Raw genomic sequence first — 27,871 nt, 5'->3', positions numbered from 1 at the left:
TCACATGCTGCCATCTTTTCTTTAGTCTGTCTCTTCTTCTAACCACAGTTCCCTCCTTTCCCTCCAAAGGAAGGAGACGTGAAAGGGCAAACTATCACTATAAATGCTCGTTAGCTGAATGTTCAAGCAGCCCTTCCTTTACAGGACCTCCCACCCCCACCTCTCTTATTTGAGGCTTTATTTATTTACTTATTTAGAGACAGGGTCTCGCTCTGTTGTCCAAGCTGGAATGCAGTGGCATGATCACTGCTCACTGCAGCTTCAACACGCTGGGCTCAAGTGATCCTTCCACCAGAGCCTCCCAAGGAGCTGTACTACTGGTGAATGCCACCATATCCGGCTAATTTTTTAAATTTTTTGTAGAGATGGGGTCTCACTGTGTTGCCCAAGCTGGTCTCAAACTCCTGGCCTCAAGCAATCTTCCTGCCTTGGTCTCTCAAAGTGCTGGGATTACAGGTATGAGCCACTGCACCCAGCCACTTCTTTATTTAACATATTCAGGACTTTTCACTTGCCTTAGTTTTTAAGTGTCTTGCCTAAGTCCTTTCTCTGACTTAACAACTCTGGCCCCCAAACTGGAGAAAATGGGAGAGTTAACAGCATTCTAAGTGATGCACCCCATCACTTACATACGATGGGACCAAATCCACTATTTGGTTCAGTTCATAGGTATTTCTTGTAACCATCTGGACAAGAATGATTATGTCTGCTATGGTGTAAGTTACAGGGGTAAGCAAATTCTAGAAGCTGCAGTTGCCCCACTGCAGAATATCAAGAGATAAGCCCTTCCAGGCATTTCACTAGTTTATCCATAAGCAAGGAGGAAATAGAGTCAGTGCCACCCACTCAGCCTTTACTCCCATGAAGGCAAAGGTCAGAATGAAGATTGTCATCTCAGTTAAATGTTACCTCTGAACCACCAAAGAAAAAAGCAGAGAGAGGTTGCAGATCTGGCTACGTTCCCTCACCCAATTTGAGTCAAATCATATTTAATCCCTACCAGGAGGTCAGCCCCAATTCAATAGTTGCTCAAGAAATTAGTTCAGTTGTCAGAATAATCTGAGAGCTCAATTCACAGCCCAGACTGGACCCAAACCTTCAGGTTCATTTATATAATAAAATGCTTCCTGTGTGCCAGGCCCTGTGCTAAATGGCACGTGATCACACTTAACCTCCCAAACAACTCTAAGTGAGCATACTGACCATTTTCTTCAGATGTGAGATCAAGCCCAGAGATGGCAAGGCTGCTAAGCTGTGATATGAAAAGGAACCACATCTGTCTAACTCCAAAGCTTCCATCTTTAAACCCCTTTTAGCTAGGTTTCTGAACAGGGTTGAAAACTTCGTTGAACAAGTGTAGGCTGGCCTTTGGACAAGGGAAGACCACCCTACCTAAAACAGCCCTTCCCTGCCACTCAGCATCACTCTTTCCTTATTCTTTCTAGCATTCATCTCTAAAATTACACCCATTCATCTCACAAAGAATGATTTTGCTTCTGCTATATTCCAGATACTGTGGATGCAGTAGTGAAATAGACTACAATCTCTGCCCTCACCGATCTGACAGGATTTATTTGTTAACCTGTTCCTGTCTCTCCTACCAAATATGAGATCCATGAGGGTAGAAGATTGTCAGTCTTGCTTACTGCATATTTCCAGCACCTAAATAGCCTCTGGTATATGGGTACAACAGACAGCAATGTTTGTCAAAGAACTGCATCCATGACATCCTCAGCATGGCATAGGAAACTGGTCAAACAATTCACCAAAGTGATTTTATTCCCATGCAGAGTTCCTTATAGTGCACTGTCTTAGTACTATTCTACAAATGGCCATTATATAAAGACTTAAATTAAACCTCCATGATATCCTAGTATTTTCTAAATGTTGAAAAAAAAAAAAACAAGTTTAGTCATCAAGAGAGATTTTTCTGTGCAAAAAAAGAAAAAACAAACAAACACACACACAAACACACACACACACCAAAAATCCCCCAGTACCAGATAGCCACAATACTAGAGGAGGGAGTAAATGCATATGAGGAAAAAGGATTCAAAATAAATTTTTATTTGCAAAATTAAATAAAAAAAAAAAAACAGGAACAGAAAACTAGTCCGAATCAGGTTCCTTCTTCTTTCTTCTCGTCCCTTTTGGATGAGTCCCAGACTCTGTTTTTTCTTTGTTGTGTTCAGTTTGTTGTGTCATCCACTCTTTTTCTAGCTGTTTCAGCATGTCTGGAGTGAGGAGTCCTTGCTGCACCAATCTGGAAGCAAGGGACAGCTCTCCTGCATCGGGGCTGGGTGGCTCAGTAGCTTTACTCCCTAGAGCTTTGGTGCCGCGTGTCCTTCTAGCTTGGCTCTTTAAGGTTCCTGACAATCGTGACTGGCTCCCTGATGGAAAGCCCTCCAAATTCAACAGCTTATGCGTCTCAGACATTTTAATCAATTTAGTGATATTGTGCACACCATCTTGGATAATACCATCTAGTTCTTTCTGGAGATCTCGAATAAGGCTGGCATCTGGAAACATATCCATAAATCGGTAGCTGGGAAAAAGACACATTAGCATTATAGCAACAGCTCTTATCGCAGTCACTGGACAACTCTCAATGGCACACCTACATCATGACATTGATAAATTCTAAATGTTCTTTTTGCAAACTCTCTTCAGTGCCTTTGCTCAACCTTGATTTCTGCCCCCACATATCGGAGGAATATGTCATCCTGAGGGTGGGTCAGCACTATACCTCAATAGACTCTGATATACTCCTGGAGAGGGACATGCCCCTCCTTTGAGAATCACTGGCCTAGAACAGGACTTCTCAAATGATAATGTACAAGTGAATCACCCAGGGATCTTGTTAAAATGCAGAATCTGATCAAGTCAGGCATGGGCCTGATACTCCTTAGTTCTAACAAGCTCCCAGGTGATACCAATGCTTTTGGTCCAAGGACCATCCTTTGACCAGCAGGAGTCCAGTGGACCTTCCTTCTCACCTAGCCATCTTAACTAGAATTGCAAGAACTCAAGTCATTTTTGGAATGGGAAACCATTCCATCAGTTGAATTGCCTTTATGGACAATAGACATAATATAGAGCATCTTGCAAATATGTCCATAATTTGAAATAGAAAAACAAATTCATAAAACCTTTAATTTGTCCTACTAGAAAAATGAGAGCACATAAAGGAAAAATGTTGGTACCTTAGCCACAAGTAAAGATCCAAGACATCGTGGACAGCTTCAAGATCCATGAGGTCTTTAATATTCTTAGGTGGAAGTAAAGGCCATTTGATGTATCGGCGTAACCATGCAAAGGTCAGGGGCTCATTCCTGCTATACTGCCTGGCAAACTGAGAGAGAAAGAGGAAAAGGGTTTCAGAGAAGTGTCAGAATTCCCTTAAGTCTATAATTAGAAAGAGAAAAAAAAGAAAGCAAAACAAAACATTGTGGTTGTATTTCAATAGACAGGTGGTTTCTTTTCTCCTTTATACTCTTCTACATTTTAAAGAACATTTAATACTTTATAAGGCCAGGTACAGTGGCTCACGTCTATAATCCCAGCACTCTGGGAGTCTGAAGCGGGTAGATCACTTGAGCCCAGGAGTTCGAGACCAGCTGGGGCAACATGGAGAAACCCCATCCATACAAAAAACACAAAGAATTAGCTGGGCATGGTGGTGTGTGCCTGTGATTCCATCTACTCCTCAGGAAGCTGAGGTGGAGGATTACTGAGCCCAGGGAGGTCAAGGCTGCAGTGCGCCATGATCGTGCCACTGCACTCCAGCAGTGAGACCATTTGGAGAAAGAAAAAACAAAAAAAGATGATTTCCTTCTTTTTCTAAAACCAGGGTAATAATATGTGCAGCAGAAGTTCAAGGGCTACTCTGGGCACACTACCTATAGGGTATCCCTGCTCCACAAGGAGCAGTTAAAAAAAAAAAGAAGCTGTAGAAGGACTAACTTTCCAGGGCCTAAGTCTGTTAACTCTTATTTAGGAATATGTGATGTTCTAAAGCTATGGACAGACAGTACCTGAAGACTCCTATTTCTATCTCATATGTAATAGTCCTATAACCTCAAATACGAGCTTAAGTTTCTCTATCTTGTTAATGTCCTCCCTTATTTTTTATTTTTTTGAGACGGAGTCTCGCTCTGTTACCCAGGCTGGAGTGCAATGGCACGATCTTGGCTCACTGCAACCTCCGCCTCCTGGGTTCAAGTGATTCTCCTGCCTCAACCTCCTGAGTAGCTGGGATTACAGGCGCCCGCCACAACACCCAGCTAATTTTTGTATTTTTAGTGCAGACGGGGTTTCATCATGTTGGTCAGGCTGGTCTCAAACTCCCGACCTTGTGATCCACCCGCCTCGGCCTCCCAAAGTGCTGGGATTACAGGCGTGAGCCACCGCACCTGGCTGTCCTCCCTTATTATATAGAAACCCTCTGAGGTGGCCTGGTGCAAGGCTGGTCAGAAGTCAATCTTGGATCTGCCTCCTGCGAGCTGTGTGGCTTTGGCCAAGTCAACACTCTTTGCTTCAGCTTCCTCACTGGTAACGTGAGACATCACAGCCCTGTCTTGAACCACAAGACACTGCTGGGGAATGTGCTTTCAAAACCATGTTGCATCCCAGAATTAGGCAATATTATACATCACCTGTACTACAGAAGATAGACATACAACCACACAGTAAGACCCCTCAAGCAAGAGTTTAAATAAAATCTTCAGCTTCAAGATTCAAGCTGATTTCAAATGATTCATTTCCTGATTAGGGGAAATTATCTCTAAATGCTTAACCTAAGCAAGGTTAATACTTCAGAGAGGAAGAGCAGTTTTAGATCAATTGTAGTTAAATAATGCCACAATTTTGTTAAATTCAGTCTGGTCCACTCTGCTAAGTTTAATAAATGCCAAGTAGGATAGCCATAAAGGGTAGAAATGTGACCACACTACCTGCTAGGCAGGACAGGCCAAGCATGAGTTCTCAAGTTATCTTATAAAGGCAGTGGCTCTATTTTTTTTGGCCACAAACAACTAGTGGAAGCCCAATACATAAAAGAGCTAAGTAAGGAGCTATGCAGAGAGAGCAGGGAGAGATGCCCGCCCATCCATCCATCCATCCATCCATCCATCCAGCAGCTGGCCCTAAAGGAGCTCCATGGAGCACAGCTTCCAAATCACAGTCCTAAGGGGCATCCTAAGTCATTAATGTGATTGAGCTCTTTCATAGTTCAGTAATGACAAAGATCAGGAAAAAAGGAAAAGCCTCTAGATTTCATATTCTAATTTTTAAACAGAAAACACACGGAGCGGCCGGGTGTGGTGGCTCATGCCTGTAATCCCTGCACTTTGGGAGGCCAAGGCGGGTGGATCACTTGAGGTCAGGAGTTTGAGACCAGCCTGGCCAACATGGTGAAACCCCATCTCTACTAAAAATACAAAAAATTAGCCAGGCATGGTGGCGGGCACCTGTAATCCCAGCTACTCGGGAGGCTGAGACAGGAGAATCGCCTGAACCTGGGAGGCGGAGGTTGCAGTGAGCCAAGCTCATACCACTGCACTCCAGCTTGGGCAACAGAGTGAGACTTCATCTCAAAAAGAAAACACACCACGCATCATGGCGCACACCTGTAGTCCTAGCTACTCAGGAGGCTGAGGTGGAAGGATCGCCTGAGCCCAGGAGTTTGGGGTTACAGTGAGCTATGATTGTGCCACTGCACTGCAGCCTGGGCAACATAGTGAGACCTTATCTTAAGAAAACAAGCAACTGTTGACCTGCATGTTCCAGAGACTCCCTACACCTTAGTAAAGAGCTTCTATTCACTAGAATAGCTGTTTAAAGGATGGTGTGAATGGTGCCAAGGCCATGGGACTGAGTTCCACTCAGGTCAGTTTACAGCAGTTCAAGACTGTTCCATAAACTTCAACCTTATGCTAGCTAAGTTTTTCACAAATGCCAGCTCTAAGAAACATATTTTCTAGGTAAACATCTGGACATGGAAGATCTCTAACACATATTATTAAGAGAAAAAGAAAAGGCAAGTTGTGAGTAATTCATTAAGATAACGTTGATAGGGCTGGGCACAATGGCTCATGCCTGTAATCCTAGCACTTTGGGAGGCTGAGGCAGGTGGACTGCTTGAGCTCAGGAGTTCGTGACCAGCCTGGGGAACATGGCGAAACCCTGCCTCTACAAAATATACAAAAATTAGCCAGGCATGGCACATGCCTGTAATCCCAGATACTCAGGAGGCTGAGGCACGAGAATCGCTTGAACCCAGGAGGCAGAGGTTGCAGTGAGCTGAGATGACACAACTGTACTCCAGCCTCAGCGACAGAGTGAGACTCTGTCTCAAAAAAAAAAAAAAGATAATTTTTTATGGGGAAATGCACCCTCACAACAAATCTAGTGTTTCCACATGAACATGCACATAGGCAAACGCAATGAAAAACAGTCTGCAAAGATACACACAAACTTACACAAGTAGTTATTTCAGAGGACTAAGATTGGGGAGGGAGCCACATTTAAGCTATCTGTAATGTTCTCATTTTGTATAAAGAGAATGTATGTATTATTTATGTAATTTTTTTTTTAAAGGGCAGAGTCTTGCTATGTTGCTGGAGATGTTCTCGAACTCCTAGGCTTAAGCAATCCTTCCTGCCTCCCAAAGTGCTGGGATTACAGGCATGAGCCACAGCACTGGACTATTTATGTTATTTAAAAAATAAGTTTAGAGCTAGATTTGATTAGAATATAGCTCATATGTAGAATGCTCAGGCCTACAGAGGAAATGGCAGTGAACCTCAGTGAGTCAGGACAAGATTCAGAGAAGAGGAGGCCTTTGGGTTTAGTGGGGTGGGGAGAGCATGCAAAGCAGAGGAAATAGGGCGGGAGGTGAGAGAACATGTTATGTTTATAAGGTACATACAGTTCTGAACCGCTTCCCTCACTTACTGTTATAGTGTAACCACTTATGTAGATTTCTTCATTATAATCATAATTATCATTGCAATGTCTTCCTAATATCCAATCAAGTGGATATGCCATAATGTAGTTAACCTTTTCCCTCTTGTTGGACATTTGGATCCTTTCAAAAACATTTTTAATAATTAAAATATTAGGCTGGACTAGGTGGCTCATGCCTGTAATCCCAGCACTTTGGGAGGCTGAGGTGGGATGATCACTTGCCTCCAGGAGCTCGAGACCAGCCTGGGTAACATAGAGAGATCTGTCTCTACAAAAAATGCAAAAATTAGCTGGGCATGGTGGCACATGCCTGTAGTCCCAGCTACTTGGGAGGCTGAGGTGGCAGGATCACTTGAGCCAGGGAGGTTGAGGTTGCAGTGAGCTGTGATTGCACCATTGCACTCCAGCCTGGGCAACAGAGCAAGACCCTGCCTCAAATATAAAATAAATAAAATTAAATTAAATAAAAGTATTGTTATGATAAACCTTGGTAGAGTTTTGTTTTTTTTTTTTTTGAGACAGAGTCTCGCTCTGTCACCCAGGCTGGAGTGCAATGGTGCGATCTTGGCTCACTGCAACCTCTGCCTCCTTGGTTTAAGTGATTCTCCTGCCTCAGCCTCCCGAGTAGCTGGGATTACAGGTGCCCACCACCATGCCCGGATAATTTTTGTATTTTTAGTAGAGACAGGGTTTCACCAGCTTGGCCAGGCTGGTCTCGAATTCCTGACCTCAAGTGATCCACCCGCCTCGGCCTCCCAAAGTGCTGGGATTACAGGCGTGAGCCACTGCACCCGGCCTTGGTAGAGATTTATGGTTCTCCATAGTCCACTGTCCTTCCTGGCCCCCAGGAATCCTGTGCTTCTCAGAAGTCAGAGATTTGCATCCCTACCCAAATGAGTTAAAAGAGGCTAGAACCCTGGCATGGTGCTCATACAAGACAGTAACCCCTGGCTCAGTGCTTTACACTTAAGAAAACTGAACACTGTTGCTACTATTAACCCCTATTTAAGTTTTTACAAAGTCTCTCATATTACTGAATACTCTTGTAATTATTTTATTTTGAATAACAAAGTACTGTTTGGGGAACCTGCATCAACCAGAAGGAACTCAAAATAGCTTAAAGATAAAGGCTTACCTGTAACAGTGAAGAACACACAAAAGGCTGCTTCTTGTTGATAGGAGCTGTGCAGAAAACATACCTCACTCGCAGACTTAGTGGAATATGCTGGATCAACTCTGCAGAAAATTTAAAATCATCCATATTGCAGACAAAATACTGCCCATCAACTTGTGAAAAGTCTACAAAAATATCCTTGGGGAAAAAAAGACAGAAATTACTGGACTGCCTAAGTGAATTAAAATGAACAATGAATAACATACTCAAGTCTATAAAAGACAATCTCTTTAATCCAGAACAAACTTCCATAAAGGCTTGCTTTAATCACTCCCTCATATCCTTCCCCACCTGAAATACTGAGAGGAAATTCCTCAGGGCTAAAGTCCCAAAAGATTTTGAGAAAAAATTTTCACTTGTAAAATAAATTTTATAAATAGCAACTTCTCAAAGGCAGACTATCCATTCATGCTCATGAGGTTAACCAGTAATCACCTGACATATCAACATTTTTAGGGGAGATGTGAAAGGGAGTTTCCACTTACAATGAGATTGGACAGTGTTGCATCAGGGAGATGGTAGGCAAACATTTCAATCTGCTCAGCAGTTGGATGAAGACCAGCTGCCTTTTAGTAAAAGAAAAAACAATCATAAGCTGATTTTTTTTTTTTCAAAAAGGACAAATTTTCTTAAGTTATTGCACGATAAAGTCCCATTCAGGCTAAGCTCTCACCATATGAAGTAAATGCCAAGAATTTGAGTAAAAGAGAAAAAATATCATTTTACCATTTATTACCAATTAGAAAAGTTGATGATTTAGTAAAAATGACAGATTATGGCCACTGAGAAATTAGTCTTTTGCTTACATTTTAGTTATATTTCTAAAACCTATGATGATCTGGCAGTGTACAAAAAATGATTTTATGGGCTGGGTGTGGTGGCTCATGCCTGTAATCCCAGCACTTTGGGAGGCCAAGGTGGGCGGATCACGAGGTCAGGAGATTGAGACCATCCTGCCCAACATGGTGAAACCCCGTCTCTACTAAAAATGCAAAAATTAGCTGGGTGTGGTGCTGCGTGCCTGTAATCCCAGCTACTCGGGAGGCTGAGGCATGAGAATCACTTGAACCCAGCAGGCAGAGCTTGCAGTGAGCCGAGATCGCGCCACTGCACTCCAGCCTGGCGACAGAGCAAGACTCCGTCTAAAAAAAAAAAAAAGATTTTACGGCCAGGTGCAGTGGCTCATGCCTGTAATCCCAACACTTTGGGAGGCCAAGGTGGGAGGATTACTTGAGGACAGTAGTTCAAGATCAGCCTGGGCAACAAAAGGAGATTCCCATCTCTACAAAAAATTTTTAAAAAATCAGCCAAGCATGGTGGTGAGCACCTGAAGTCCCAGCTGCTCAAGAGGCTGAGGTGCAAGGCTCTCCTGAGCTCAGGAGATTGGGGTTACCGTGAGCCGTGATCATGCCACAGCACTGAAGCCTGAGTAACAGAGTGAAACACTATCTCAAAAAAAAAAAAAAAGGAAAGAAAAACCTGTTTTCCAGGGTAAAACCATTTTCCATGTCTCATTTCTCCTCATTGAATTAAAATGAATAAGAAAAACCCAGTCACTTTAACCAAGGCAATAAAACTAACATAGATATATACATCTAGAAAGACATGAGAACATTTTTAAACTGGAAGTGAGTTCTCTTTAGCTACACATTACACCGTTAGGACATGGCCACAGGAAAGTATAAGGAATGAAGTATGAAACAGAGAGAGAAAGTGAATGAAAAAGACAGAAGAAAAGAGGCAAGAGAAATTAGTCATAAGGGAGGGAAGAAGAGTCCAAGACATGAGGTGCCCAGGAGGGAAGCAGGGAGGTCACAGGAGCCAACCACGAACCTAACTGTACTGCTGAGAAGTTACAGAAATGATTCCAGCACAGCCTTCCCCTGGAAGCTTCTCTCCCTGCATGCTTCTCCCTGTATGATCTCATGTCTATACTCCCCTTCATCTAGTGTCACAAATGAGATAAGCCATGTAAGTGAATTTTCCAGGGAACTTTAAATTTTGACTATTACTAGAAAGTTTGTTTCAAATATGTACAATTCTAACTCATTAACTAATATTAACCAAAATTTAACCTTCTCCTCACTGGATGAAGTTGTATTGCTTAGGGCTGTTTTTGCCCCAAGCAATACAAGGTTTCGTCTATATTCAGGCTTCTGGTCATTTTTCAGTCCACTAATGTAGCTCTGTGTGCTCAGCTGAAGAAACTGCTTTTCTCCCTGTTCCTTCCCGCTGCTAGATTCCGGAAGGAAGTAAAGGCAAATCAGGCTCACTAAACTTTGTCAATCTGGACCTTCACTTGCATACCATTCTCTGATCAAAGAACTCTGTGGCTCTCCAAAGCAATAAAGTAGGGCTTTTTTTAATGCAGTTTTCATGGCACAAAATTTTCTTTCACTTATGTCTGTATCCAGAAATGTGTCTGAGGTGAGAGTCTGGATGGTGGGTGAGGGAAAGAATGACTCTCCTCCACAGAGAAGCAGTAGTTAACATGTTACCTCTTACCCTTATAGGATCCACAGGCCTCTTCAAAATTTCCTTTAATAAACTGAGATCTTCATGATTCATTGTTGTAACCTCTCCTTCTTTAAACCGTGAGCTGAATCTGCCAGCTCTGCCAGCAATCTGCAGGGCTTGAGAGGTTGTGATTGGTTCTAGTTCTCTCTCTCCCTTTTCATTGATACTGGGCTTTATAAGGGAGTAAAAAATAATTCTCCTTATGCTCCTGAAACAGAAATAAAAGTGATCCTGCAGACTGTATGAAAAACCCTCCAATACTTGGGTCATTGCATAATGCTCACTCCAATACTAGCTTAGGTCCTCTTGCAACCTTGACTGCCACTTACAAAATTAAGGAAAGTCTGGCACAGTGGCTCACACCCATAATCCCAGCACTTTGGGAGGCTGAGGCAGGAGGATTGTTTTGAGGCCAGGAGTTCAAAACCAGCCTGGGCAACATAGCAAGACCCAAGTCTCTACAAAAAATTAAAAACATCAGCTAGGTTCAGTGGTGTGTGCCTGTTGCTCTAGTACTCGGGGGGCTGAGGCACAAAGACCGCTTGAGCCCAGGAGTTTGAAGCTGCGGTGAGCCATGATCACACCACTGTACTCCGGCGTGGGGCACAGAGTGAGACTCTGTCTCAGAAATAAATAAATACATAAATAAATAATATTTAGGCTTAACATTGTTATCATTTAGAGATAATAACTAGCCCCATGTGCATAATAGGCACTCGGACACCTGACTGAGAAACTGAAAGTAAAGTGACGTAGTACAATAGGTTAGCAGTAGTGGTGGGCAGCATTCAAACGTCCTAGTGTGGGCCGAGTGTAGTGGCTCATGCCTGTAATCCTAGCACTTTGGGAGGCTGAGGTGGGAAGATCACTGGAGGCCAGGAGTTAGAGACTAGCTTGGGCAACAGGGTAAGACCTTGTCACTACCCAAAAAAAAAGAAAATAACCAGGCTTTGTGGTGTGCACCTGTGGTCCCAGCTACTCTGGAGGCTGAGGCAGGAGGATCACTTGGGCCCAGGAGTTCAAGACTGCACTGAGCTACAATTTGATCACTGCACTCCAGCGTGGGTAAAAGAGCAAGACCCTGTCCCTAAGAAAAGTCCTGGCACTATTTAATATTTTCTTTTTATTTCCCTCAATAGGTGTAGGCAAGACAAACCTCAAATCTAGCCTATAATATTTATTCTCCCAAATCATAGCGTTTGGTCATTAATGCCAATTAGAAAACTGAAAAACAAAAAAACCACCATTTAACTCACCAAATATTCATCTTATTAAAAACAAATTACTTACAAATTAAGTCCCATGCCAATTGCATCTGTAGCAACCAAGATTTTGCATGGGTCATTGGGATCATTAAACTTTTTTGCTTGAGCAAGTTTGGTCCCTAAAACAAGAACAATTTATGTTAAATCAGTGTTCTCAGTCTTTTATTACATCAAGCTAAGTACATCTTGGAAACCCTCACCTCCTGTTCTTCCCATTTTTAATGATAAAACCTTTACTGTTTCAAACTTTATTTCTTTATATCCTCAAAGAGCCACTTATCCTTTACATCCATTCCTTCAAATACTCCGTCATATAGCAACACAATCCCCCACCACACTAGCCTTATTCCTGAGGACACAGATTTCAGGACTACAACTTAAAAGGACATGGTCAAGACCAGATTTCAATGACATTTCTGTAAGAAAATAATAAACTCAACATTTAAGATACAGTCTAATAATAGCAGCAACTAACAAGAACTATAATTAAAATACTTCTATTTCCACTAAGATGAAATAGAAAATTATTTATTTTATATGACGTTTAACAAATTACCAATACATCAAGCAGCTTAATTCAATATTGTTTACCATTTTTTTATATATATCTCAACATAAATTGCAAAGATAGGAGATTTCATATCTTGTCACGAGGAAAGTCAATAATTACCAGGTGGGAGACTGCCATATATAACAGCTGATTCTAATCCCCGAATTTCAATCTGCCGACTCACAGAATAAATATCATTCTTGCTAAAACAGACAATGCAGTCCCCAGGCCGAAGGTTATCTAAAGATTCTAGTGCATGGTCCAGCACAGAAATGGGGGTAAGCCTCTTATAGTCTCGAACCTACAATAAAGACATGAAATGGCAAAATGACACACCCAACTCAACTTCTTGTGACTAGTAATTAAGTGAAAAGATTGTAATGCAGTTAAGAGTAGCTAAAAACTGATAAGTACCAATGTTTTTCAAAAGAAAACACAGAAAAACATTTATTTTGATATTATAAGTGTTACCATCACTTCTCATTGGCATCTCTAAATTAATAAGATGAAACAGAGTGTTTCACCTGTTTTCAAAGCTTTTTCTCATATATTTCATTTTCACGGCAATGTGTTAAGTTCAGAAAGGTTATTAACTGCTATTTCCATTTTATAAAATAGTAAAACTGAGCCCAATAAAAAATTAATGTCTGAGGCACATTTTGCAAGTCTAACCTTCTGTGACTTGTCTAAAGAATGCAAAGCTAAGAATGGCAAAACACAGAATGGACTCCAAAATTTCTTCCACTATATTCCACTATCTCTCCTTGAAAACTGAGCACAAAACTAAAATAACAGGCTAATTCAAAACTATTTCCTTGGCTTATGCTTATAATCCCAGCACTTTGGGAGGCCAAGGTGGGAGAATTGCTTGAGCACTGGAGTTCGAGACCAGCCTTGGTAACACAGTGAGATGCCCTCTGCTCAAAAAATAAAAAATTAGATGGGCATGGTGGCAAACACCTGTAGTCCCAGCTATTTGGGAGGCTGAAGTGGGAGGATCACTTGAGTCCAGGAGGCTGAGACTGCAGTGAGTTGTGATTGCACCACAGCACTCCAGCCTGGGTAACAGAGTGAGACCTTGTCTCAAAAAATAATAATAATAATAATAATTCATTTTACTATAGAACTCTGGTAAAGAAAAAGAGAAGCAGGATTAAAAGGAAACCAGTTACTTCCAACTCTAAGAATTTCAAAAAGGAATATAAACTGTGTCTGGCAATTAGATGTGTATCAAAGGCCCCAATATCTGACATACAACACTTTGAAAACGACAAACTTGCTGGGTCTCCAACTTCTAAGAGTACTGATTTATTTAATTCGAAGAGATCTACTCAAGCCCCACAAGGTTTTGTCAAGAAGTGAAGAATTTCCTGTACTCTTGGAAGACTTAGGGTGTGATGACCACTCTGTCAGAACTTCAGATCATGAGGTTCAATCAAATATATATGGTCTAGTTGATCACAAGAAAATGAAGCTTTCTTTTTAGTTAAGTTCTGACGCTGGCATTATCTAGGGCCTCTGAAGCCACTGCCTAGGTACTCTGGACTATTTGATATGCCACCTGGAGAACAAAGCATCTAATCGAATACCTCCACTTCCTCCCCCGTTGTGTACATAAGCTCCATCACCAGGTCAATAGCAGCAGGTTCTCCACACAAATGAACCTCTTCAGCACACAGTCCTGTCAATGCAAAACTGGGTTTCTTAATTTTAAAGATTTATAATTAAATATACAACATTTTACATAGCCAAAGTACTTTACGTTGGCTTACATATTGCTTTACAACCTTACCAAGTATTTTCAAAAATATTATCTCTGATGCAAACCTTGAAATAATCACCAACTTCTAATGGGCAAAGATTATCCAATTTTTATTAATCTCAGGCCTTTTAAATTGCTTTGGCCAAAGTTTCAACTCTATCAGAGTGAAATGAGCCAGGATTAGAAGCTGGCATTTGGATGCTAAGTACTGAACACAGACCCTATACTTGTGTTTTTCAAATTAGGCTCCATGGAATCGCTGAGGTACCTCAGAGGTTGGGGGTTGGAGGGCAGAAGAAACTCCAAGCTCCTTATCCCCGAGCAGATCCACTTCCATGTATTTTACATAACAGGCTTCAATGTATACTCTTTGTTTAAAAAAAGAGTTCAGCCTTTTTTTTTTTTTCCATGAGACAGAGTCTTGCTCTGTCGCCCAGGCTGGAGTGCAGTGGCATGACCTCGGTTCACTGTGGTTCACTGCAATATCTCCTTTCCAGGCTCAAGTGATTCTTGTGCCTCAGCCTCTGGAGTAGCTGGGTTACAGGCATGCGCCACCACGCCTGGCTAATTTTTATATTTTTAGTAGAGACAGGGTTTCGCCATGTTGGCCAAGCTGGTCTTGAATTCCTTGCCTCAAGCAATCGGCCAGCCTCGGCCTCCCAAAGTGCTGGGATTACAGGCGTGAGCCACCGCACCCAGCCAAGTTCAGCTATTTGTTTTTAAATTTGAAAACATCTGCCCTAAAACATGATCAAAAATTCACTCCAACATCAAGCAGTAGAAATGTTCATTCATGTCTATGGACCTCAAGAACTCCACTTACAGGAGCCTATCCTAAAGAAATAATTAAAAAGATAAAAAATAAGCTGGGTGTAGTGGCTCATGCCTGTAATCCCAGCATTTGGGGAGGCTGAGGTGGGAAGAGTGCTTGAACCCAGGAGTTCAAGACCAGCCTGGGCAACATAGGGAGACTCTGTCTTTACAAAAAATTTAAAAAGTTAACCAGGGGGCATGTTGGCAAACAGCTGTGGTCCCAGCTGCTCGGGAGACTGAGATGGGAGGACTGCTTGAGCCCAGGAGGTCAAGGCTGCAGTGAGCCACAACTGCGCCATCACACTCCAACCTGGGCATCAGAGCAAGACCCTGTCTCAAAAAATAAAAAGCTTTGGCCACAAAGATTTTTACTGCAGCGTTATTAGTAATAGGGAAAAAAAGGTTCAACTCTATGGAGCAAATTACAGTATTGCCCTTCAATAGAGATATGCGATCATATTAATACATAATGAAAAATGTCACATGAAAAACAGCAAGATACAAAACTAATGTTCTCAAAACACCATATGCACATACAAAAAAGAAAAGACTAGCATGAAACACACCAAAACATAAATTGTAGTTGTGTAAATATGAGATTTGAACATTTTAACTTTAATTACATGGTTATGCTAGTTTTAGCACAGGAAAAAATAGATTTCCCATTATTAAAATAATATTTAGAAAATAAAAACTCATACTTAGTTTACTTTTTTGTGTCAAAAAGAAAGGTTCTAGGTGACTCTATTTGGTTGGCAATGGCAAGCAGATAAAAATGCATCTCAGCGCAGATGTCATAAAGCACGGGTTTTATAGCATTACGACCACCAACCTAGAAGTGCTCTGGTCCAGGCCCATCCTCTGGCTGGATCTCTAATCATTTGAATTTCATCAATTACAGCCACTTCATCTTAAAATAAAAAAGTTAACATGAGCAATACCATCTACTTAAATAGTATTATAAACAAATTCCAACACCAAAATTCAAGCATCACCATCACCACTACCACCATCACTTACTGGGTTCCTCTTTTCCAGCAGGTTTGTTCTAAGTGTTTTACCTCCTCTTAAGTACCTCCTCTTTAATCCTCACAACAAATCTATGAGGTTAAGTATTATCACTATCTCCATTTGACAGAAAAAGTCAGAGGCCCAGAGAAATTAAGTTACTTGCCTTAAGTTATACAGTTAAATGCAGAGATGAAATTCAAACCCAGGCCATCTAGCTCCAAAGTCTATACTCTTTTTTTTTTCTTTTTAATTTAGATACAGGGTCTCACTGTTGTTCAGGATGGCCTTGAACTCCTGGGTTGAAAGTGATCTTCCTAACAGTGTCTCACTGTCATACAGCCTGAGTCCAGTGGCACAATCATAGCTCACTGTAACTTCAAACTCCTAGGCTCAAGCAATCCTCCTGCCTCAGCTTCCAAGCAGCTGGGACTACAGGCACGCAGCACCATGACCAGCTAATTTTAAAAACATTTTCTTGGGAGGTCGAGGCGGGTGGATCACAATGTCAGGAGATCGAGACCATCCTGGCCAATATGGTGAAACCCCGTCTCCACTAAAGATACAAAAATTAGCCGGGCATGGTGGCGTGCGCCTGTAGTCCCAGCTACTCTGGAGGCTGAGGCAGGAGAATCATTTGATCCCGGGAGGCGGAGCCTGCAGTGAGCCAAGATTGCACTACTGCACTCGAGCCTGGGCAACACAGCAAGACTCCAGCTCAAAAAAAAAAAAGGTTTTTTTTTCTTTAGAGATGAGGGTCTTGCTATGTTACTCAGGCTGGTCTCGAACTCCTGGCCTCAAGCAATCCTCCCATCTCAATCTCTTAAGTAGCCAGAATTAACAGGCACAAGTCACCACATCCAGCTCCAAGTCCATACTCTTACATACTCTACCACACTGCCTCCCACACTGAGCAGTTCCACTTGTCCTGTTTTTTTGCAATCTAAGAGACAGCCTGGAGAATTTCTCTGATGAGAACTATCACATCTGGACAGAAGTAAAAGAAGAAGGCAAGTTCCAGAACAAGGAGGTGACAGCCCTTCATTTACTAATGAAGCATCTCTACCACAGGAAACCAGGCAGCTCTCAGGAGCAGAAAGTGAAGTGGAAGGAATAATTCCTTGGGCCTCAGTCATGCTCATCCTTAGGGGTTTTAAATCCATCGCTATGGCAAAAAGTAGTGTCTCATCTCATTTTCTAAAGCTAAAATGCTTCCAAATACCTTATTCTATTCCCTGTAATTCATATATTATATTTTACTTTCTTCCCCAAATACTACAGAATTGAAAAGAGAACATTTAAAAATACAATGACACTTAGGAAAGTAAAGAAAGCTAATTTTATATTGAACAATCATCAGATTAAAAATTACTTATTGAGGCTGGACATGGTGGCTCATGCCTGTAATCCCAGCACTTTGGGAGGCCGAGGCGAGGCGGACTGCTTGAGCCCGGGAGTTCGAGGCCAGCCTGGGCAACAAAGTGAGACCTCTTCTCTACAAAAGAAAAATTTAAAAGTGAGGCAGGAGGATTGTTTGAGCCCAGGAGGTCACGACTGCAATAAGCTGTCATCGTGCCACTGCACTCCCACCTGAACGACAGGAGTGAGACCCTGTCTCAAAAAAAAAAAAAAAAAAACTACTTCGTGATCTGGATATGTACAAACAAGACTAGAAGAGAAGACATAGAGAAGAAATTCTGATTTATAAACTTCTGTGCAACTGTACAATATATTACTTTATAATGTATTGATTTTTTAAAAACTATTCTTCTCACAAAGTTGATTATTAAAATGAAAAAAAGCAAGCTACCAAATAGTAAAGTACCTTCCTATTTGTTTAATATACACACCCACCATGCACATATAACTATATGCATACACAACATGAACACAAATATTAACAAAGTCTGGAAAATATATAGGGTTAATTAACACCTATTGATTCCGGATAGGTGGGACTGGGAAATTATGTACATTTGTTTTCTTCTGTTTGCTTGCTTACATTTTTATATTTTCAATAATGAAGATATGATTGCTTACATAATAAGGAAAAAGTTAATTTTCACTTAAATGTTAAGGCCAGGTGCGGTGGGTTATACCTGTAATCCCACTGCTTTGGGAGACCTAGGTGGGAGGACCACACAAGGCCAGGAATTAGAGACCAGTCCGGGCAACACAGCAAGAACCCATCTCCACAAAAAATTTATTAATAAAAAATTAGCTGGGTGTGGTGGCTCACACCTGTAGTTGTAGCTACTCAGGAGGCTAAGGCAGAAGGATTGCTTGAGCCCAGGAGGTCGAGGCTGCAGTAAGCCATGACTGCGCCATTGCACTTCAGCCTGGGTGACACAGTGAGCCCCTGACTCAAAAACAAAACAAAACAACTTTAAATAGAAGCTCATTGTGGCAGTGTACATAACAGGAAAAAACTTTAAACAACCTAAATATCCTTTAACAAATGGGGAACAAATAATTTCAGTTCTAAGATGGAATACTATAAAACAGTTTAAATGAAATAACTACAAATATGTAGCTATAGATACTTCAATAAGACTAGATAGATCTAAACACATTTGTGGAGTAAACAAGCAAGTGGTAGAACAATAATAATACAATAATCACATAAATGTTTTAAAACACAACAATCTAGAATACTGGTAATACGTATCAGTGATATAATATATATCCTGAAAAGAGACAGGAAAACTATACACACCAAATATCTGTTACCAGTTAGAACAAAAGAGGAGAGAGGAATTAAACTGGAGAGTGGTACAAAGGAAATTTCAATTATGCTTATTAACATTTCAGCTCTTTTAAGAGAAAAAGGGAAAGAACTTCAGGTGCAGGCATTTGTCAGTGGTGGCAGGATCGCACGTTTGTCATACTTATTCTCTTCTTTTTCTAGATTTTAAAATTTTTTCTTCACACAAAAAAATCGTATTTCACATGTTCAAGTGTATTTTAAAATTAAAAATACCATGGTCAGGCGCAGTGGCTCACGCCTGTAATCCCAGTACTTTGGGAGGCCGAGGTGGGCAGATCACCTGAGGTCGGGAGTTTGAGACCAGCCTGACCAACATGGAGAAACCCCGTCTCTAGTAAAAATACAAAAATTAGCCGGGTGTGGTGGCGGGCACCTGTAATCCCGGCTACTTGGGAGGCTGAGGCAGGAGAATCGCTTGAACTGGGGAGGCAGAGGTCGCAGTGAGCCGAGATAGTACCATTGCATTCCAGCCTGGACAACAGAGCAAGACTCTGTCTTGAAAAAAAAAAAAAATTAAAAATACCAAACCATAGTTTCTTAAACAGCATATACATACAAGGAGTTGTAACACTGCACATCTCAACTGTACAAGAAACATGTGAAGCCTGTTTCCCATTTGGCTGAACTGTCACACGCTCTTCACCTGTCACCAAGTCACATGGCACACCCTAGAAAGACAGAAAAAAAACTAGAATTATTGAAAATAATGCAAAAATACGTTTTGGATATTTAACAGGGTGTTCTCTCCACTACCACCAAATTAGTTTGTTTCACAGTTAAAACATAATGTTCCCACGGCCAGACACGGTGGCTCATGCCTGTAATCCCAGCACTTTGGGAGGCTGAGGTGGGCAGATCACAAGGTCAAGAGATAGAGACCATCCTGGCCAACATGATGAAATCCCATCTCTACCAAAAACAGAAAAAGTAGCTGGGAGTGGTGTTGCACACCTGTGGTCCCAGCTACTCGGGAGGCTGAGGCAGGGGAATCACTTGAACTGAGAGATGGAGGTTCAGTGAGCCGAGATCATGCCACTGCACTCCAGCCTGGAGACAGAGCAAGACTGTCTCAAAAAAAAAAAAAAAAAAATTCCCAATGCTTTTTTCCCTTTTATAAAAAATAAAGTAAAATAAGAGCCACTCTCTTACACAACTTGGGTAAACCTGGAAACATCTCAAATCAGCTAAATCCTCAGGTAACAAAAGCATGAGACACTGCAGCAGTTTCACATTTTAACTTTGTACATCTCTGAACTATTTGACTTCATTAAAATGAGTTGTTTCTATATTCAAGAAGAACATTATAAATACAATTTAAGAATGTAAAGACCTCCTATTATAATTCCCTGAGAGGGACCAACATTAATGCTGTATCAGGGTGATCAACCATTCTGGTTTGTCTAGGACTAATGGGTTCCCCAGAATGGAGGACTCTTGGTGCTAAATCTGGAGAAGTCCAGGCAAACTGGGATGGCTGGTCATCATAATAGCCTGAATCTAATCATGGGGAAACACCAGACACATCCAAACTGAGAGACAGTTCACAACACAACTGACCTATAGTCTTCCAAAATGTACAGGTTATGAAAGACAAAGGAAGACTGAGGAACTGTCCAAGATTAATGGAAACTAGAGATATGACAACTAAATACAGTGTAAGACCCTGAAAAGAACCCTGGAGGGGTGGAGGATGGGGTGTAATTGGACAATTGATAAAATTTGAATATAGATTGTGTATTAAGTAAGAGTAATCTATCAATATTAAATGTCCTGCTTCAGACAAATATCCTGTGGTTACGTAAAAGTCTGTTCTGAGGAAACATATTCTCAAGTATTTACAGATAAAGAGGTATTATGTATGTAAATTGCTCAAACTGTTCAGAAAAAAAAAAAGAGAATGCAAATTACCTACCAAAACTGGTTAAACTCACATTATAAAGTCATAATAAAACAATGAACCAAAATGTAGCCCATTTAGTGAAAATGATGCCTCAGACTACAGGGCTTCAGTCCTTTCAGTTTTGAAAAGGTAGCTTCAGTCTTTATCATTAGCTCTAGCTGATAGCATCAGAGGTCTAATCTATAAAAGGTAAATTAAATATCATAGAGTAGTGCTTAACTCTGATGGGGCAAAGGACTACAGAGTTTTGAGAGTAGCAACAATATTTTATTTCTTAAAAAAGTAAGTGAAGCAAGTATGATAAAATGTAAAGATATGATGAGGTGGTGTAATAGGTTCAAGCTTATTTGTATGTTACTTTCTGCATTTCTCTACATATGTAAAATGTTCTTCAATATTGTATTTCATTCACTGTACTGGCACATGTTTTCATGTTTTTGTATCTCTGAAATCAAGATGCATCTTAAGAATTGATAGAGCTGGGTGCGGTGGCTCACGCCTGTAATCCCAGCACTTTGGGAGGCCGAGACGGGCAGATCACGAGGTCAGGAGATTGAGACCATCCTGGCTAACATGGTGAAACCCCGTCTCTACTAAAAATACAAAAAATTAGCCAGGCGTGGTGGTGGGCGCCTGTAGTCCCAGCTACTGGGGAGGCTGAGGCAAGAGAATGGCATGAACCCGAGAGGCGGAGCTTGCAGTGAGCCAAGATCGCACCACTGCACTCCAGCCTGGGTGACAAAGCGAGACTCCATCTCAAAAAAAAAAAAAAAAAAGAATTGATAGCATGTCAGAGTCAGTTGGTAGCATCTTTTTCTTTCTTAACTGTATATAAAATAATGGTACATCTTACAATTGACAGCCTCTTAGACACAATGAAATATGGTAATTTCTTGTTAACAGTAAATTACTACAAACATCTTTTCCCACTCCCACCAAAAAAGAAAATTAAGAAAAAAATGAGCAAATATTTGGTAATATACTGACAGCAGCATTACTCTTTTCGAAGATCTCATGTGCCAGTAATTTTAGAGGGCCACAATACACTCCAGACTTTGCTGAGAAGTATTTCTGGATTGCGTGATAAGTCTTTCCACTGTTTGTGGGGCCTGAATGAAATATTATCTTCCGCTGCATGGCTCTAGCATCTGGGTACCTAAAACATGAGTAGGTAAACAGCTTAATCCATTAACCTCAAAATCCATCCTGGCAAAGACAGCAAATGAAACAAATTCCAAATGAAATATCCTCTTAATGTTCACAAGATCAAGTCTTTGAAAAACTAAACAATGGGTTTCATATCCACATTAAAATAATGACTGGTTTCCAAGAATAGCATTTACTAACTAGAGGACAGAAAAACCCAAATGCAAATTAATGTCTTGGAAATTTTTCCCATTGTACAAATCTCTTTTTCTCAGCGGTTACTAAAAATAAATTTAAGCTGCTATCAGTTCCATACTATGTTCACATCATTCCCACAGCTCTAAACACATAACTCTAAAGGCAAACATTCCCAGGCCCCTGAATTCCAACATACACAAATATAATAACAGAGTCTTCTACCTCTGGCCATAGTGGAATAACTGGCACTAGACTTGCCCTCCCACTAAAAACAAGTACAGGCGAGGCATGGTGGCTCACGCCTGTAATCCCAGCACTTTGGGAGGTCAAGGCAGGAGGATCACTTGAGGTCAGGAGCTCGAGACCAGCCTGGCCAACATGGTGAGCCCCCGTATCTATTAAAAATACAAAAATTAACCAGGTGTGGTAGCACACGCCTGTAATCCCAGCTACTCAGGAGGCTGAGGCAGGAGAATCACTTGAACCTGTGAGGTGCAGGTTGCAGTGAGCCGAGAACGCACCACTGCACTCCAGCCTGGGTGACAGAGTGAGACTCTCTCTCAAAAACAAACAAAAAAAATCAAGTACAAAGTGGGGCAAAATACATGCAATAAATGTGTGGGGACATGGGCCACAAGGCAGTGCAGGACTGCAATCCTTGAAAGAAAAGAACACTTGGGATGAGCCGTACTGCACCCCAGCAAGGCATAGGGAGGTGGAACCCAAGCAGAATATGACAGTCCCACTGAAGCGAGCAGCAGAGATTAAGTTCAGAGCTGCTTCAGCAGCTAAAATGTGAAGAATAGACTGTGGAAGAGAAGGGTGCATAGAAGGAGAGCCCAGAAGTCTGTGTGGGGGTTCCCTGCGAATTCCTGGCCAAGGGCTGGGCTAACCATGTACAAGGTAAGAATCGGCAGGGTCTAGGAATGAGCAGCCTACCAAGGGTTTCAGTGGAAAGTCTCAAAGACGTCTCAAGTGCTAGGTGATGTTGCAGTTCCAGCCATGGTGGAAAGAACTCATTAACACCCAGGCGCTCAGCTAAAACACCAGGAAGGCCATAGCTTACACTTAAGGACAACATCCTTAAGTCAGGGCTATTCTAGATCTGCCCTAATAAAACCTAAAACCACACTCAATCCGGATCAAGGTAAGATACCAGTGAATTGCCTAAAAGAGTTAACTGCCTCTTTTTATTTTAGGAAAACAACCTAATCCAGACTCCTTATAATTTGTTATCTAGAATACAATAAAAAAAAATAATGACCACGAATCATCCAAGATTAGAAACTGAAAATTTCAAATCCACAAATGGAGAAACTAACCAGTTAGGTGGTATTCTTAAGTCACTGATTTTACGTAGATCATCCTTACAGTCCAACACAGGAAATATTTGTTTGGCATGTCTCAAGAAAAATGGGAATAAATCATCCGCATGAGCTGGAAAATAAAACACTGTATTAACATGTGCAATCTACATAAAATTCGTAACTAAATTTAGTGAAATCTTTTTTCTTAACAAGCTAAGTTGCGGGGGCACTGCCAGGGTAAAAAGAAAAGTCCTCTCTGGGCACAGTAGCTCACGTCAACAATCCCACCACTTTGGAAAGCTGACCTGGAAGGATGGCTTGAGCCCAGGAGGTTGAGGCTACACACTGAGCTGAGACTGAGCCACTGCACTCCAGAGCCTGGGTGACAGAGTGAGACCGTGTCACAAAAAAAAAAAAAAAAAAAAAAAAAGGAAGAAAAGAAAAAAAAAAGTAGAAAAGTCCTGAGGTTACAGGCCTTATCCTTTTCTGGGATCCTGTTTTGTCTTACTTTTTCCTTTTAATTTATATTTTCAGGAAATTGGCTAGCAACCACCACGTCCTACTCCTTTAGTACAAACAGGCAAAGATTAGCATTGGCAAAAGTTAAATTAAAAATAAAGAACCTAGACATGTACATTACAGAGATGAAGGCGCAAACATTTTTTAAACTTCGAAAACCACAGACAGGCAAAAACATGTGTTTGTTCCTCAGCAAGAATTCTCCACATCTTAGTGGCTCTGAGAGGAGGCTGGGGCATGTCCCATTCTGCGTTGTATCCTCAGTGCTGGGCACAAGGTACAGGTCTAAGAGTCAAATACATAACCAAAGCCAAACTGCCTGTGGGAATGAAACTATGATATTTTGACTTTTTTTTTTTCTTTTATAGCAAGAACTTTGTCCTGATATGAGGGAGAAGGAAGCCAGTGGCAAAAACAGATGGAATCTGCTATGCACTAATTCCAACTTGTGTGAGAGCTTATTTCACTGGGCCCCAGTCTTCCTCCAGTCTAAGACATATGGGTGATGTAATAACCAGCTCAGGGACCCAATATAAAAGCAAACAACCTAGAAGTCATCCTGTGAAAGCACTGAATTATTTACAGAGGATGTTACCAGACCCACTCTAAACCAAATAAGCCCTTCTAGAGAAATGAGCATGAAGTATGAGAAGAAATAGAAGGTATGTTCAATAGGATTTTAAAAAGTCTCTAAACACTTGCCTGCACCGAAGCAAATATCATTCAAAACAATGTGAATGTCCACATCCAGGGAATGAGACTGCATAATATAATTTCTAAAGCTTATGAAAGCTTGGTGGAAGAGACGAGCTGTAGAAACACAAAATGAAAAGATGTAAGGTGTAGTTCTCATTTTAAAAAGCACACAGACACACCACACCAAACTCATCAAAGAGTCTTTTTTTTTCTTTTTTTTTTTTTTTTTTTGGCAGTACAGCTGGTTTATTATGATCTGGGCTAAAACTGAAGTCCTAGCACAGCATGAAGGAAGGCCGCAGCTGCAGCTCCTCTGCCGTGCAGTATGGCTCACCAGGTGAGCCTCGCCAGTCTCCCACTCAGCCAGAAGCAAAGAGCAGGGACGTGTCTCCAGACTACAACAGCCAGGTCACATGAGGGGTCGTACAGTCCTGACCAAGCTGTACCGTAAGAGGTAATAAAATACCTCTATGAAGATGTTTTGGGCCTTACCATCAAGTCCATAATCAGCACCCAGTTTCTGAATTTCTTTCCTCTTGTAAAATTTGTCTAAGACCTTCTTTACTTCATCTAGAAGAGAGATGTCAAAATTTAACGTTTCCTTATCTTAGATAAATGCTGAAAAAAAGCAAAAGAAACTTGAAGCAATAACACTAAAGGCAGCAGTCTAATGAGTGTTGCAAGAACTAGAAGGTTTTAGTCGATCCTTCTTTATGAATTCATATGCGATGGGAGTGTTAAGAAAAATGATCGAGTTGGCCGGGCACGGTGGCTCACGCCTGTAATCCCAGCACTTTGGGAGGCTGAGGTGGGCGGATCACGAGGTCAGGAGATAGAGACCATCCTGGCTAACATGGTGAAACCCCGTCTCTACTAAAAATACAAAAATTAGCTGGGCCTGTTATTGGGCGCCTGTAGTCCCAGCTACCCAGGAGGCTGAGGCAGGAGAATGGCATGAACCCGGGAGGCGGAGCTTGCAGTGAGCCGAGATGGGCCCACTGCACTCCAGCCTAGGAGACAGAGCGAGTCTCCGTCTCAAAAAAAAAAAAAAAGAGAAAAATGATCGAGTCAAATAATGCAGCACCCTGTTATACCATAGAGGAATGAGCAATGCACTCTGGGATGAGAGGCAGCCTCAAGCCTTCACCAGGCCACTTATAGGTAGAGAGCCACACTGTCATTCACTTATAACGATTCTGCACATCCAAACAGTGAGCAGCTAAAACACATCCAGAAAGACAACCAATATAGCAAGGACCAGATCCTCATGCTTAAGGAAGCCACGCTGATGTTAAGTTTGAGGATGATGATTTCAGGGATAAAAGATTACACTTGTTTTGTGCTAGATGGCATAACTAAAGTCAGTGGGAGCAGATTTCAGTGGAATTTATACAAGAACTTCCTAACAATTAGAACAGTGAAAAGTGAGAGCTCCTTGCCAATGGAATTACTCAAGCAAGGGTTAGATGACTGTCAAGGGTGACGGCAGAGAAATGTCTATGCTATTGGGAGATAACATGCCACTATGAATCAATAATCTTAGAGGTAAAAGTATTTTAAACTAATCAAGCTGAGATTGTATTATGGTTGTATATGTTAAAATACTACAGCATTATTCAATAAACATTTTACTGACTCAGTCACACACTATGTATTTCTAGGAGGAGAAGCCACAATGAGGACACAGCCTTTACCCATGAAATTCAGAAAGGCCAAGTGACCTGTATTTTTACCTTTCACAAATGTGCCAACCACATTTTCACACAGTCCAACACACACAACACTCATTGAAGAAATCAAGCCTGAACAAAGCATTCCACTAATAAAACTGTTTGACAGAATGAGGAAATTTCAGAATCACTAGATCTGCCCACAATTAAATATGAGATACACATACACACACAGTGTGTGTGTGTGTGTGTGTGTGTGTGTGTGTGTGTATTTATATTTCAGATCACAGGCAGATTTCTGGGTCTCTGTTACTTTGTGCCGGGTAGGAACAACAGTTTCTTTTTTTCTTGGAGACAGTGTTTCACTCTTGTTGCCCAGGCTGGAGGGCAATGGCGCGATCTCAGCTCACTGCAACCTCCGCCTTTCGGGCTCAAGAGATTCTCCTGCCTCAGCCTCCCAAGTAGCTGGGATTACAGGCATGCATCACCATGCACCATGCCCGACTAATTTTGTATTTTTAGTAGAGACAGGGTTTCTCCATGTTGGTCAGGCCGGTCTCGAACTCCTGACCTCAGGTGATCTGCCAGCCTCAGCCTCCCAAAGTGCTGGGATTACAGGCGTGAGCCACTGCACCTGGCCAACAGTTTCTTGGTATCAAGGGTAGAAAAACCAATGACAAATAAAAGATTGGAAAAAGGCACATGCCATCATTGCTTGGGAAAATTCTGCTGACCTATAAACTCGATACAAACTAAAGACAGATCACATTTATTTAGAATTAACCTATTTTCTGTGACTAATACTACGGTGTTATATAAGATTCATGCTGCTTTACTCAAATTAAAATGCTTCCAAAATGTGAAATTTCTCATTATGCTAAGTAAAAGAAACCAGTTACAAAAGACCAATACTATATGACACTATAAATATGAAATACACAAAACAGGCAAATCAACAGACAGAATGTGGATTAGTGGTTATCTGGAGCTAAAAAAAAAAAAAAGACACTGGGGACTGGGGAACTAGAGAGTGACTTGCTAACAGATATCAGGTTTCTTTTTAGGGTGATAAAAATGTTCTAAAATGAAATTATGGTGATGATTGTACAATCCTGCAAATACACTAAAACCCAGTGAATTATACACTTTTAAAGGGTGAGCTTTCTAGTATGTAAATTAAAATTGTATCTTTCTTTTTTTATTTGAGACAGGGTCTCACTCTTGTCACCCAGGCTGGAGTGTGGTGGTGCAATCTCGGCTCACTGCAACCTCTACTACTACCCAAGCTCAAGCAACCCTCCCACCTCAGCCTCCCAAGTAGCTGGAACTACAGGCACACACCATCATGCCTGGCTAATTTCTGTATTTTTTGTAGAGATGGAGTTTTGCCATGTTGCCCAAGCTCGTCTTGAGCTCCTGGGCTCAAGCGATCCACCCTCCTGGGCCTCCCAAAGTGCTGGGATTGCAGGCACGAGACACTGCGCCCAGCCTAGTCTTTTTAAAAGAACATTCTGACTGCAGGTAGAGAATAGAATGAAGGGATCAAAGGCATATGAGGAGACACATAAGGGGCTATATGTGCAGTCCAGTCAAAAGATGGAAGCTGGCAATTT

The 27,871-nt window shown here is 41.4% G+C and overlaps 1 protein-coding gene across 9 annotated transcripts in view, besides 2 other annotated features; it reads right to left on the bottom strand.

The window, feature by feature from the left end:
• Positions 1-2,051: 2,051 nt before the first annotated feature.
• SUPV3L1 (Suv3 like RNA helicase) overlaps positions 2,052-27,871 on the bottom strand; it is a 28,860-nt gene continuing 3,040 nt past the window's right edge. For 2 of the 9 annotated variants that reach the window (NM_001323585.2, NM_001323586.2), the window contains 15 exons: positions 25,081-25,158; positions 24,595-24,702; positions 23,679-23,751; positions 23,389-23,503; positions 21,710-21,878; positions 19,379-19,490; positions 15,880-15,957; positions 14,062-14,153; positions 12,593-12,773; positions 11,948-12,041; positions 10,646-10,865; positions 8,626-8,706; positions 8,102-8,278; positions 3,204-3,352; positions 2,052-2,545 (listed from right to left, as the gene is read on the bottom strand). In NM_001323585.2, the coding sequence (NP_001310514.1) occupies positions 2,110-2,545; positions 3,204-3,352; positions 8,102-8,278; positions 8,626-8,706; positions 10,646-10,865; positions 11,948-12,041; positions 12,593-12,773; positions 14,062-14,153; positions 15,880-15,957; positions 19,379-19,490; positions 21,710-21,878; positions 23,389-23,503; positions 23,679-23,751; positions 24,595-24,615 (1,998 nt within the window). In that variant the 5' untranslated portion in view covers positions 24,616-24,702; positions 25,081-25,158 and the 3' untranslated portion in view covers positions 2,052-2,109. Of the gene's footprint in view, positions 2,546-3,203; positions 3,353-8,101; positions 8,279-8,625; positions 8,707-10,645; positions 10,866-11,947; positions 12,042-12,592; positions 12,774-14,061; positions 14,154-15,879; positions 15,958-19,378; positions 19,491-21,709; positions 21,879-23,388; positions 23,504-23,678; positions 23,752-24,594; positions 24,703-25,080; positions 25,207-27,871 lie in introns of all 9 variants that reach the window. The other 7 variants (NR_136627.2, NR_136626.2, NM_001301683.2 and 4 more) reach the window with 5 other exon arrangements.
• Positions 6,869-6,968: a silencer, noted in NCBI's record as "silent region_2429". NCBI's record gives its function as "represses an Ori minimal core promoter by ATAC-STARR-seq in GM12878 lymphoblastoid cells {active_cell/tissue: GM12878}" and the evidence as "EXISTENCE:reporter gene assay evidence [ECO:0000049][PMID:35858748]".
• Positions 21,049-21,252: a silencer, noted in NCBI's record as "fragment chr10:70949649-70949852 (GRCh37/hg19 assembly coordinates)". NCBI's record gives its function as "represses an EF-1alpha promoter that drives an FKBP-Casp9 reporter gene in an ReSE screen in K562 erythroleukemia cells {active_cell/tissue: K562}" and the evidence as "EXISTENCE:reporter gene assay evidence [ECO:0000049][PMID:32094911]".

Source organism: Homo sapiens, chromosome 10, assembly GCF_000001405.40.
Source record: "Homo sapiens chromosome 10, GRCh38.p14 Primary Assembly".
Lineage (NCBI taxonomy): Eukaryota > Metazoa > Chordata > Mammalia > Primates > Hominidae > Homo > Homo sapiens.
The sequence above is the reverse complement of the archived record's forward strand: the minus strand, read 5'-3'. Positions and strand labels throughout refer to the sequence as shown.